Source organism: Homo sapiens, chromosome 2 (assembly GCF_000001405.40).
Source record: "Homo sapiens chromosome 2, GRCh38.p14 Primary Assembly".
Taxonomy (NCBI): Eukaryota; Metazoa; Chordata; class Mammalia; order Primates; family Hominidae; genus Homo; species Homo sapiens.
This window is the reverse complement of record NC_000002.12, coordinates 113,200,021-113,212,829: the sequence shown is the minus strand read 5'-3', so window position 1 is coordinate 113,212,829 and position 12,809 is coordinate 113,200,021. Positions and strand designations below refer to the sequence as shown.

The 12,809-nt window shown below is 52.1% G+C and overlaps 1 protein-coding gene across 1 annotated transcript in view, besides 3 other annotated features; it reads right to left on the bottom strand.

Annotated features, from left to right (window-relative positions):
* Positions 344-638: a silencer, noted in NCBI's record as "tiled region #2961; HepG2 Repressive DNase matched - State 8:EnhW". NCBI's record gives its function as "represses a minimal TATA promoter and a strong SV40 promoter by Sharpr-MPRA in HepG2 cells {active_cell/tissue: HepG2}" and the evidence as "EXISTENCE:reporter gene assay evidence [ECO:0000049][PMID:27701403]".
* Positions 3,439-12,809, bottom strand: part of PSD4 (pleckstrin and Sec7 domain containing 4) — a 35,421-nt gene continuing 26,050 nt past the window's right edge. Inside the window, exon 17 of the mRNA NM_012455.3 lies at positions 3,439-11,672. Within this exon, the coding sequence (NP_036587.2) occupies positions 11,415-11,672 (258 nt within the window). The 3' untranslated portion in view covers positions 3,439-11,414. The remainder of the gene's footprint in view (positions 11,673-12,809) is intronic.
* Positions 8,506-8,555: an enhancer, noted in NCBI's record as "active region_16417". NCBI's record gives its function as "activates an Ori minimal core promoter by ATAC-STARR-seq in GM12878 lymphoblastoid cells {active_cell/tissue: GM12878}" and the evidence as "EXISTENCE:reporter gene assay evidence [ECO:0000049][PMID:35858748]".
* Positions 8,896-8,945: an enhancer, noted in NCBI's record as "active region_16416". NCBI's record gives its function as "activates an Ori minimal core promoter by ATAC-STARR-seq in GM12878 lymphoblastoid cells {active_cell/tissue: GM12878}" and the evidence as "EXISTENCE:reporter gene assay evidence [ECO:0000049][PMID:35858748]".

Genomic DNA, 12,809 nt, shown 5'->3' with positions numbered 1-12,809 from the left:
GAGGGAAGCGCTGCCTGCGGCTCTCCCGGGGAAATGTGATTTCCCCCTGAGTGAAGCGGACTGTGCAGTGTGGAAATTGGCTCTTTTCTGAGCGAGCTGCTGCTGTTGCTGCAGAGTCGGGGCGGGCCGGCTGGCCCCTGGAGTGAGCCGGGAGCAGCCATGTGCTGAGAACTCATTAGGGATAAATCAAACTAGTAACAGCATGAAGCCAACACCCCCCCACCGCGCCTCCCTCCCCTACCCCCTCCGAGACCCCCCCACTTCCCCTCCTCCTCCATGGTCTTCTTCCCGTCAGACTCTCTCCTGCCTTCTCCACAGCCAAGGCACCCTCCCTGAAGCCAAGGCACCTCCCCCAGACAAGGCACCCTCCCCTCCAGTTTCAGGAGCCCGAGCTCCTGCTCCTGAACACGACCTCGTGGGCGCAGGCTTATCCGCCTACTGCCCAGACGCCCGGAGCCGCCCCAGTGAGAGACAAGTTCATTTATAAATACCGTCTTTTTTGTTTGTTTTATGTTTGTTTGCTTTTTTTTGCTGGAGATGGGGGCCTGGTAGCAAGCTTCACTGACAGCCACAGACAGCCCTTGCTAGGAGCACAGATTGGGACCTCACAGTCCAGGCCCTCTCATCCTCCCCCCAAAGTCACATCATTCCCCTGTCCTCACCTCCTAGAGGAACCCAGTGGGGAGGCCCCCAGCTGTGGGTAGCATTAATACCCCCACATATATCCATCCCCCTGGGGAAATGAGAGCACCCAGAAGACTTAACTGCAGCGGGAAAGAAATTATCCTTAAAACAGATGAGCTTGGTCAGAATGGAAACTCATTTCCCCACCGGAGGAAAACAAGGAAGAGAAACAGACAAGGAGGAAGAAAGAAGGCAGGAACAAGGCCTGGAGCTCTTGTCGTCATGAAGGTGATGAAAGTGTTTACTTGCAAAGTATAGCCATTTCTTCCCTAGAAACACCCTCTTTGCTGAGGCAGCGGGAAAGGGTCGGCCTGGTCTGTTATTCCAGGGGCTGAACTGGTTGGTGTTATTAAACTTTTGTTAGTTATCATATCATAATAACACGGCCCCTGGTTATTGCCTTTGTTTTCCCCCTGGGAGAGATTGGCTGAGGGATATTGCTAAAAGGGCCCAGACCTGGAGTGTAGGGTTGTGACCGGATTTCTGTCCCTTCCCTTCTGGCGACCCCAGGAGACTGCTCACTTACCTCAACTGTAAAATGCATGGCTTGAGCCAGAAAAATGTCCAGCTCAACGCTGTGACGCAGTAGTGACCCAGGTCAGTGACAAGCATTGAGGGCCTCATCTGACTGGTTTAGGTATGAAGCCCTCTTTCTCCAAAGTTTCCCCGGGAATTTTCCATCAGGCAAACACCATATTTCCATATTTGGAATCTGCTCTGTGTTTGGGGTGGGAGTGGCTCGGCTTCTGGTGCCCCACCCTGCCTGATGGGAGCTTGGGTCCTGACTCAGCTTGCCGAGCTAAAGCCAGGCTTCCAAAAAATTCCAGGATGGGGCAGAAACCAGAGGACAGCCAGCTAGCCACAGTTAGTATAGGCTGGGGCATGAGGATTCTGCTATAGCCCTTACATTAGTTGATTCACTCATTCATTCATTTATTCAGAAGTCTTTTATGAACTACCTGCTATGAACGTTTCCCTTTGGTAGGCACCAGGAGAAAACAAGATGAACCCAAAAGGACTCCTCCCAGCTCCCAAGGGGAAAAAAAACAAAAACAAACAAACGAACAAAAAACAGCTTAAGAAACGAGACTTGTACAGAACTATAGAGCAAAGTGGGAAAGTGAACATCAGAAGACAGTTGCACATAAAATACAAAATACTGTTGGTTTTCAGATAATACTTGCAAAATCCCTCATGGTCATCCCAGGCCTCTATCTGGGATCACTGTCTTCTCCAAGAAGCAGCCACTAGGAACAGCAACTGCAAACTCTAACCCTCAAGCCTGAAGTCCGACCTGTCTTCCTGGAAAAAGGCTGCTCCCCTGGCCTCCTATGCTTCTGTGTCTGGGAGGAGTAAGGCGGTGCTGGGCAAGGAAGAAATGAAACATCATCAGCATCCTTTCCCAAATACCCTCTCACCCCATTCCAACCGCCGTCTTCCAGACTTGCCCCAAACCTATCTAACCGGACCACAAGCCTAGAACCAGAAGGCCTGGGTCTCTCTCTGAGCTGCTGCTTTGTTCTTACACCTGGGTGGGGAAGGGGGCAGTGGGTACCCAAGGCCTGAAAACAGACTACAGGCTGCCCCTCCCTGCACATCTGGCTGGTCCCCTCCTTCCCATCTTGATAGCCCCCTGCACCCAGGGTGGACCAGCCCAGCTCCTCAACCACAGGTTGGAGGACTAGAAAAGGGAGAGAAGGGTCCAGGGTGGGGAGAGTGGGAAATGGCAAGCAGAGGAAAGGAGAGGGCCAGGGACATCACCTGGCTGTGAGTTCTAGGACTGCTGGGGGAGGTGACAGTGATACAGGCTTTAGGAACAGGCCTCACCTCCATGATCCCTATGATGCATACACATTTTCTCAGAGGTCTACTTGGAGGATGGAGGGAGGGGACTTTAGAGGCTGAAACACAATGATGGGGGGATGCAGTACCCAAATGTCCCAAGGAAGGGAGGGAAAGTAGAAGATAGGGAGTCAGAGAAGCGGGGAGCAGGTGCCTCCTCCCAGCAGCCAGCCCCAGGGAGGGAATGGGGGTGGACCCAGACCCGGGCCAAGGCTCAGGGCCCATCTGAGCATGTCGCCTGCTAAGGAGGAGTGGAGGCGGGGGAGGGGAGGGCGGGGAGGTGAATAAATAATAGGAAATAAAACTTCATGAAGCAGAAAATAAAAGGCAGATTATACAGATGTGGCAATTTGAAGGATCATTGCCTCTGTCCTCTTTTTAACTGCTGCATCTGGAGTTTCGAAGCGGCTTATCCTCTCCCTCCCTCTCCCAGGTCCCCGCCTGGCTGGAGGCCCCCACAGGGCCAAGGCACGTGTGGGGACAGCACCTCAAACGCCTCAAATGCCAGTGGCATTTCCTAGCACCACACGCGGCTGCCCAGCCTGGGACGGGCTTGCAGGGCGGTGGGGACAGTGGGTGAAAGGGTGGGCTGGGTGATTGGGGTGAACCTCTGAGCAGGTGTGGGTGTGGCTGGGTTTGTGAGCGAGTATGAGCTTGGTATGAGGACCAGGTAGACTGTGGGGAGTGAATCTGTATGGTTAGGAGTGGGGTAAGGATTCGTCAGGCATGAGGAAGGGGACACTGGTCTGGATGACTATCGGTGGGAGAATGAGGCCTAAGTCTCTGCAGCTTCTTTCTGCTCTTCGTCAAAATTCATGTGTTAAGCCTCAATTTGACACTGTGCCAGGTGCTATATAAACAGACATGGTCCCTGCCCTTAAGGAATTTCCAGCCTAAGACACACACACACACTGACATTTTGTTTATTTTATTTTAAATATTAATATATTCCTCACCTTGTTCTGGGGAGGATTTGAGACTGCTCATATGATATGCATGCCATAAATTAGTAAAATGCAATAAAAAATAAAGCATCAGACCACAGAAACTATGCCATGGGTGGTATAGCAGGCCGTAGGCGGCTGTAAAGTTGATCCGGAATTGGCCTTCAGTCTCTTAGTGGTCAACTGAAAGGGTGTTGTGGTCACATACATGGCTCTCATTCACAAGAGGGCAATGTACCAGCTCTTAGAAGAAGCAAAACTTTTTCTAGTACTTGACTCTAAGGAAAATTACCCACCTCGGCCCAGATGAAAGAGACTAGCGTGGATAATGTCCTCAAAACATGGCAGCAAATTCAGGCTCAGTTTCTCTGGGCTGTGTCCTGCAGGAAGATCCAAGGTGGTCACCCTCAGCCTCTGCTCAGTGAGAGCACTGAAATCCACACTCCCTTGAGCAAAGAAACGATCTGTATGTTTCAATTCTTTCTTCAGCACTGGGATTTCTTTCAAGTGGGTTTTCATATACAGATTAGCCCATGACCATGACTAGAGGCTCAGAGGAAATACTAGTAACTGAAGTCACAATTCCTAGCTGGGTCCAACTCAGGGTCAGAGCAGCGAATGTGGACATGTAGAGGGAGGAGGCCAGGAGTGGTGGGCAAGACTGTCAGCAAGCCTGCACAGGGAAAGCATCTCTTCTGTGTCTGGGTACCTCCTCCTGAACCTGTGTCACACCACAGAGGAGGACAAAGAAATAAGAAAACCAGAGGCTTCTACCCTGATTGTGAGGCAAAGGTCCATCCATCCGGGTCACATCTCTGTATGTATCCTGGTGTGTGATCTTTCAAAGCAAACGGATGACCTCAAGCCATCGCAGAATCACTCACAGAAACAGAGGAGTCAGGAGAGGACTAGTTTGCAGGAGATGACACCGAGTGTGGTCTTACAGGTAATATAGTAACACCTGTACCGTATGGTCATTTGTAATTTCAGGAAGATATATTGAGGAGCCATGTATTGTGGACAGTTAGAATTCCAGGTCTGAAATTCAGAACAGAGATGAGAGTTGAAGGCTTAGATTTAGAGACTTCTTCCAGAAACTATCTTGAAAGCCCAGCAGTCAGCCAGGTAAGATCTTTGAGGCTACATAGTTTAGGGGTGGGAAGAGCAAGAGGGAGTAGCAGGAAAGACAGAAAAAGAATATGCACCAGTACTTTGGGAGGCAGAGGCCGGCGGATCACGAGGTCAGGAGTTTGAGACCAGCCTGACCAACATGGTGAAACCCCATCTCTACTGAAAATACAAAGATTAGCTGGGTGTGGTGGTGCATGCCTGTAATCCCAGCTACTCAGGAGGCTGAGGAAGGAGAATTGCTTGAACCCGGGAGGCAGAGGTTGCAGTGAATTGAGATCGTGCCACTGCACTCCTGCCTGAAAAAGAATATGCAAGAAAGTAGAAAAAGAACCAGGACATAGTTTTGAGATGTGCATTCTTTCGACTCTAGATATCAGGCCCTGGGGAAGCAGTGGAAATCAACAATCCCAGTTCCTGCCCACAGGGAGTTTATGTTGCTCTGGAAGCAGAGAGGCAAAAAGAAATGAAGAGGGCCGGGGCGTGGTGGCTTACGCCTGTAATCCCAGCACTTTGGGAGGCTGAGGCAGGCGGATCACAAGATCAGGAGATTGAGACCATCCTGGCTAACACGGTGAAACCCCGTCTCTACTAAAAATACAAAAAAATTAGCCGGGCATGGTAGCGGGCGCCTGTAGTCCCAGCTACTCGGGAGGCTGAGGCAGGAGAATGGCGTGAACTCGGGAGGCAGAGCTTGCAGTGAGCCGAGATCATGCCACCGCACTCCAGCCTGGGCGACCGAGCAAGACTCCATCTCAAAAAAAAAAAAAAAAAAAAGAAGAGGAGAGAGGAGAGGAGAGTTACAGAGTTTCATGTAATAGAAACTGAAGGAGGAAGACTTAGGGAAGGCCTCTTGGAGGAAAGGGCATCTGCATATTAGTCGGTTTTCTCCCCATCATCCATTCCTCCTATCCTGTCCTTCCAGTACTCACAATTTCTCCACAGCTGGTCCCTATGTTTTGGTGGTGCTGACTTCACTCTCATCCTCTCCAGAAGTGGACTCTGATCTCCTTAAACCCCTGGCTCTAGTGACTGGCTCAGATATGGGCACACGGCCCAAGGCAGGCTGCTACAGGAGACTATTCCTGGATTTGAGTTTGAAACTTCCAGGAAGCAGAGAGTCACTTTCTGCTATATTTGCACCAAGAAAATGGATCTTGAGAGTTCCTGGGGCCATCTTGGAAGCATGAGGGTTGTTCCTGCTCATAGGCCTGGGAGATGGAGCCCCCAAAAGAACAAGAGAGAAAAGGGGCCTTGAATCAGAGTGAAGCCCGAGATGAAGCCTCACCTGACCTGGATACAGATTATTCAGCTATTGGAGCCAATCAAAGTCCTTTTCTGCTAAAGCTCATTTGAGCTCAGATTTGTTATTTGCAGGCCAAGGCAGAGCCAAGTGCAAAGCTACCCAGCATCCAAGCAGGATGGCATGCATGAGGGCAGAGCCTAAGCCAGAGCCCAAAGGAGGAGGGGAGCAGACGTGGGGTAAGTCTGGTGAGGCTATGAATTAATAGCTAACCTCACAGGTGTCCCTTCTGTGCCAGGCATTGTTCTGAGATGTTTACGTGCATAATTTCACTTAATCTTCATGAGGACCTTGTGACATAAGTAGTGTTATTATCCCCATTTTATAGAGAAGCAAACAGAACATAAGAGGCTAACTGGCCACGGTCAGATGGCTAGAAAAGCTGGACTCAATTCCCGGCAGTCCCACTCAAGGGCCTGGCCACTGGGGCAAGATCAGGCTGAGCCTGGGTGCAGGGTCTGGTAGATGATCACATAGCTATCAAGGCCAAAGGTCGCTGAGAGGTGATGGCGGAAGAAGGCTGAGAAGGCATCAGAGTTGATGACTGCAGCCATCAATTGCCCTAGGAGGTGCCATTTCAGGCAAAGGTGGGGTGGACGCCGATTTGTAAGGTGTGAATTAGAGCCAGGTATGAATGGGAACCTGGTAAGGGCTGGGAACAGTTGGCAAAGCCCACACATACCGTGAATTCATCACAGAAAGCAGGGAAGCCAGGGTCAGCTATGGAAAGCAAGAGAGTCTAACACCAGCTTTGATTTTTGCTCATGATGGTGTTTGCAAGGCATGATAATGAAGGGGGTAGAGAATAGGCTCAAAGAGCCCCAGTGGGCCCATGAAGGAGAGAGGTCTGTGGCAGGCAGGAGAAGAGGAGCCAGTGTGCCGGCTGAGGGGAACAGTTGGTCACAGGCTTGTGGAGAGCACCTCTTCCTCTGGAGAAGGGAAAATGAAGGGAACAGGTAAAGGTGCAAGCCACAGTTAGCTGGTGAGGGGGCATGGGCATCAGAAAAGCTGAGGGGCAGAGGTGTTGGCAGAGGGGCCAGTGGGGAGGACAGTAGCCATTCAAGAAACCTTGAGGATCTGTGAGCATGCCTGCTCAGCTCAGCAGGAGGAAAAAGGACCTGCTACGGCCAGGTTTTCACAAGGTTCTGGGATATTGCCTTTTTTTCTTTTTGTATTTATTTTGAAATAATTTCAGATTTACATATAAGTTACACAAATAGTACAGTGCATTTGCAGGCCATATTCTGACCCTACCCATTGGCCTTACTTTTTCAAGGCATTTCATCTTTTTTTTCTTTTTCGACAGAGTCTCGCTCTGTTACCCAGGCTGGAGTGCAATGGCGCAACCTCAGCTCACTGCAACCTCCGCCTCCTGGGTTCAAGCCATTCTCCTGCTTCAGCCTCCTGAGTAGCTGGGATTATAGGCATGTGCCACCATGCCCGGCTATTTTTTGTATTTTTAGTAAAGACTGGGTTTCACCACGTTGGCCAGGCTGGTCTCGAACTCCTGATCTCAGGTGATGCGCCCGCTTCAGCCTCCCAAAGTGCTGGGATTACAGGCATGAGCCACCGCGCCCAGCTCATCTTCTTAAAACAAAATCCCTAGGCTGTCCTCCAAGCCCTGAGCTTGGCACTCTTCTCTTTAAAAATTGCACTGCACTGGCCAGGCACGTTGGCTCACGCCTGTGATCCCAATGCTTTGGGAGGCCGAGGCAGCTGGATCACTTGAGGTCAGGAGTTTGAGACCAGCCTGACCAACATGGTGAAACCCTGTCTCTACTAAAAAATACAAAATTAGCTGGGCATGGTGGTGCATGCCTGTAATCCCAGCTACTTGGGAGGCTGGGAAAGGAGAATCTCTTGAACCCAGGAGGCGGAGGTTGCAGTGAGCTGAGATCGCACCATTGCACTCCAGCCTGGGCAACAGAGCGAGACTCTGTCTCAAAAAAAAAAAAAAGTTGCACTGCACATTCACAAAAAGCCACTCTCCTTGGCTGCATTGGAGACCCTGTATGATCTGGCCTCAGGCCACCCTGACGGCCCTGTTTCCCTCTGCCCCCCTCACCCCGACCCTCCAGTCCTGCTCCTTCCAACCCCGACACATTCCATATGTCTCCGTCTCCTGAAGACTCAGACCCTCCTAAGGAAAAAGGTGCGGGTCTTGGTGATCTTTTTATCTACCCTGGTGCCTGGCAAGCAACAAACAAATATCATCAGCAGAAAGCCAGGCTCAGCTGAGATCATGAGAGCCCAGGAAGCAGTTATATCAGGAGTAACAACCTGGGTCACAGCAGGCCCAGGACCCTGGAAGCTGAGCTCCCCTATATGGGAAAGGAAGAACTAAAGCCAAACTTCAAGTGCCCTTCCAGAGCCTGAGCTCATCACTGAGAACCTCTGTCTGTCCCTTCTCCTGCAAAGAGAAGGACACAGGTGGGAGAGGAGCATGGGGTGGGAACAAGGTCAGACATAGGCCTGTGGTGGTTTGATCTGTTCCATACCTAGGATGGGGACTGGAGCCTGCTCAGCTTTCACCTTCCAGCGTTACCTGGAGCAACCCTGTGGGGAGCTGTAGGCTGTCCCCATAGACTTCTGAGATGTCTTTCTTTCTCTCCATCTGCAGGAAGATGTCAGAGCCCCAGTCTTTTCCCTAGGAGAGGCTTCCCTAGATGGTGGGAGTCCTGGCCCAGGCCACTGTGGGTTTTACGAAGTTGAAGGTCCTGGTTCGGTGATGGCACAGGGGCACACATAATAACTTCCTGCCTTTCAGGGAGCACAGCTCAGCTCCACAGCAGGACACCTGAGCAGCCAGAAGCTAGAAAGATGCAAGCCTGCCTCCAAGTGGTCACATGTCATAACTGCAGCCCACAACCCAGACCCTCCAGGCAGAGGTGCCTGGGCAGCATTGACTATGGCAGGCCAGGCAGCCACCATCATCTGGCTCTGAAGATTCCACGTGCTCAGGTGAAAGAGAGGTGCCGGTTCTACATGAGCAAAGGAGCATCAAAGTGTCACACACACATGCATTCAGACTTTCACCTTTTATCATGGTTTTAGAAATAAGGATGCATAGGCCAGGTGTGGTGGTTCACGCCTGTAATCCCAGCACTTTGGGGGGCCGAGGCAGGCAGACTACCTGAGGTCAGGAGTTCGAGACCAGCCTAGCCAACATGACGAAACCCCATCTCTACTAAAAATACAAAAAATAGCCGGGCGTGGTGGCACACGCCTGTAATCCTAGCTACTTGGGAGGCTGAGGCAGGAGAATCGCTTGATTCAGTGGAGGTTGCAGTCAGCCAAGATCACACCATTGCACTCCAGCCTGGGTTACAAGAGCGAAACTCCGTCTCCAAAAAAAAAAAAAAAAAAAAAAAAAAAAAAGGATGCATGTTCAGTGAGGTCAAATAACCTACTCCACTTAGTTTGTAAGCATCAGTCTTGGGCCAAAAGTCATGTCCACTTGATGCTGGGATTCCACTTCAATCAAATGAGGCAATTGGACTCTACTGCAGCTAACTGCTACTTACACATCAGAATTACCCAAGGAGCTTTAAACATATTTATCTATCCCTCTGACCCAGGCTGACTGAATCAGCATCCCTGGGTGTGGGCTGGGAATGTGTCTTTTCAGCACACTTCCCCAGCAAGATAAAAGTGCCTCTGTAAACTGAGAGCAGGAAACCAGTGGGCAAGATTGTCAACTCATGGAGTCAGGGACATGTTTAATTCATTTGTGAATCCCCTGGTACTGGCACATAGAAAGCGTCCCATATTATCTGCAAAATGAATGAATGAATAAATGAGCAAGTAGGTGAATGAATGATTCTGAGGTCTCCTCCAGCTTTGATGGCCTATGACCGTGTGACTCCTGCATATGCATGAACACACAGACACAGACACTACACACATGCACAGACACACATACACACTTGGAGCAAAGAGGGATGAAGCCTGCCACACTGCAGGTGGTCCTAGCTGCCTGACCTCCCTTCCTCACACACTGACACACCTCCCTCTTTGTTGACCTGTTATTTATTGTGCACCCATTGGGTGCATGGCCTAGCCCTAGGCCCTGGCCGGAGACCCAAACATGGCCTCCAAGGGCCAACCTTACTTTGTGGAGGTGCAAGCCCCAGAGCTGGTTACAAGCATGGGAAGGGAGGAGGGTGGCCTAGCAGGAAGGCTGGGGAGGCAGTGTGTCAGCCGGCAGGCAGCAGCGGGTAGCAGAGGCCCCCTCTTGGCGGGCAGCCTACTTGCACACTTGGCTGAACAGAGACAATGGTGGCTGGTCCCTCCGGCCCAGCCTCCTTCCTACAGGCAGAGCCCCAAGTCCATGAGTCTCCGGAACCTCCCTCAGAGAACAAGCCCAGCTGGGAGGCAGCCAGAGGGCAGGATGAGGGGATTTCCCAGGGGAGAGCAGCAGAGACCCTCTGAGCTGCCAGAGATGGGGAAGGGGTCCAGGCACCCCACAGGAAGGAAGGTTTAAGGCATGTGTAGAAAGGAGCACAGAAAAGTCTCCCGAGCCTGGCCTAGGCCTCGCCTGGTCGCCAGCCTCCGTCCCATCCCTCACAACTCTCCTGAGCTGTGGCTCCTGCCAGGCAGACCCCTAAGGGAAACTGTCGCCACCTTTTACCTCTCTATCCTCTCCAGTGGTCTGAACATAGAGAACCTCCTTCTCTGCTCTGTTGGAACAAAGGCTCCTTGTTCCTAGGGTTCCAGGGTTCCCTGCAAAGCTCTGGAGGCCCCACCCCGCCCAGCCCTCACTCATGCCATCAGCTCTGCTCTGTTGATGAGCAGTTGGGTATGTGAGACTGTTTCATCTACTTCGGGGGAAAGGAGACACAAGGAGACAAAGGCACAGGGCCCCACAGCCGTGCAGAGCCCTTGAAGCCCCCCGAGGTCCCTGCCCAGAAGGCTGTCCCCTCAGTGGGCAGGACCTTAGCGACCCTGCTCCCTGGGTCACAGGAGGCTGGTTAGGAATTTCTCAAGAGTCCCTGATTCACTCTCCTGGGGCCTCCCCAGGAAGGTCACCTAATTCCCAGAGCAAGACCATCCTTGGGGCTGTGGCTCCCCTGGCTGGGCTGCCCAGGGGCCTCTGCTGCCCCAAGCTCTCCCCCAGAAGCCAAGGGCACACCACATAAGCACTGGTTCTCAAACAAGTGCTGAGTTCTCAGCAAGTCTAGGAAATGAGGCCACTCTGGATTCTGGGGCCTGGAGGGTGACATGGGCTGAGCTCTGGGAGGAAAGTCAAGTCCTCACCTCCCTCTTCCCTTGGGCGTGGCCAGGGACTGGGGCTGCGGAGGGACTGCCATGGGGGTGGTGGGGAGCACAGCAATATTAGGAAAGCTTCAGGGAGCACAAGAATGAGGGCCACAGGGAAACAAGGTTTGTCCTTCAGCAGGGAAAGGAGGTGCCTCATCCGTCATGGTGGACTCATTGAAATAAGTCTCCTCCAGGGAGGTTCATCTCAGGTCTACCCTGGAGCAGGGAACAGTGTCTCTGAGGTGGTGCTGGCTTCACAGCTGATTGCGGTTCCGCTTAGGGATGATCTTCCGGTAGGTTCTGCGCTCTGAGATGTTGCGCTTCACCTTGGCCGTGGTGGGAGCCTCATCCTGGTGCAGGGACGGGCTCGAGTGGGACTTCTTCAGGCTGAGCTTGGGCTCCCGAGTGCCTCCAGCTTCCCTCCCCAGCTGCTCCTCCCACAGGTCCAGAGCATCAGAGGGGCAGTGCAGGCGGGCCACCAGCAGCTGCACGTAGGTCTCGTAGCGGGTTTTCTGCAACACACAGGCCCCACCACCTTAGCACCATCCTGGCTCCAGGTTGGGAGGAGGCTAGAATCGTGAGGGACAGCTCACAGGTACATGAAGCTATGGCGATACAGACCTCGACAGAAAGAGGGCTGGACCAACCGTGAGTGTCAGTATAATGCTTGGATAAGCAGACTGCAGAGCACACCTCTGGATAGTATTATAATGACACATATCAGCCCAGCCCTGTTCTAATAATAACCAACCCCTTGGAGTGCTGTAACTAACATCTCTATGCCATGTTCCATCTTTGAGGCACTAAAAGATGTGTCACCCACTATGCCTGAGATCTTTGCAGCCCTACACACAAACAGCTCACATCTGTACAGCCCTAATTGGGTCTAAATAGCATTTTAACAATTGGCATCTGTGGAGCATGATGCTAACTACCCTCATCTACTTAACACTGTACTCCTGAGGCCCCTGCAGCTAGCATCCTTGGGATATGGTTTCCAGTTTACAAAGTGCTTCCTCACCCTCCATCCCATTGGATCCTCATGCCAGCCCTGGGAGGGGACAAATCATTGCGGAAGGGAGGGCTGGTGACTTGTTAAAGGTCCCAGCTGGTCAGTGGGAGGAAGAGGTTGGGTCCTCACAGCCACACCCTGAGGCCTCTGAGAAGTGGGGAGTTCACAGCCATGGATACAACCAACAAGCCAAGGGATAGCCTGGGACCTTGAAAGACAGGCAGAGGGCTGCATGCGGGCACAGCGGGGACAGGCAGGAGGCGATGTTGACTCCCACTTCCTGGTCTCTGCCTCTGGGTGGCCTCTGATTCCCTCTATTTTCACATTGCATTCACCTACCCTTCCTGCCCAGTGGGCCCTCACCCTAAGCAGGCACCCAGGATCCCTGAAGCAGGCACCCAGTGTTAGGATCCCAGATGAACTGACGTCACACCAAAGCAGAATTGGGGAGTGTGGGTGGATGGGTGAGGGTTGGGGGAGACTAAGGGATAAAACATTTCAACATGGGCTGTAGAGTCAACAAAGTCATTACTGGCCGGGGCAGTGGATCACACCTGTAATCCCAGCACTTTGGAAGGCTGAGGCAGGCAGACCACTTGAGGCCAGGAGTTCAAGTCCAGCTTTGCCAACATGGTGA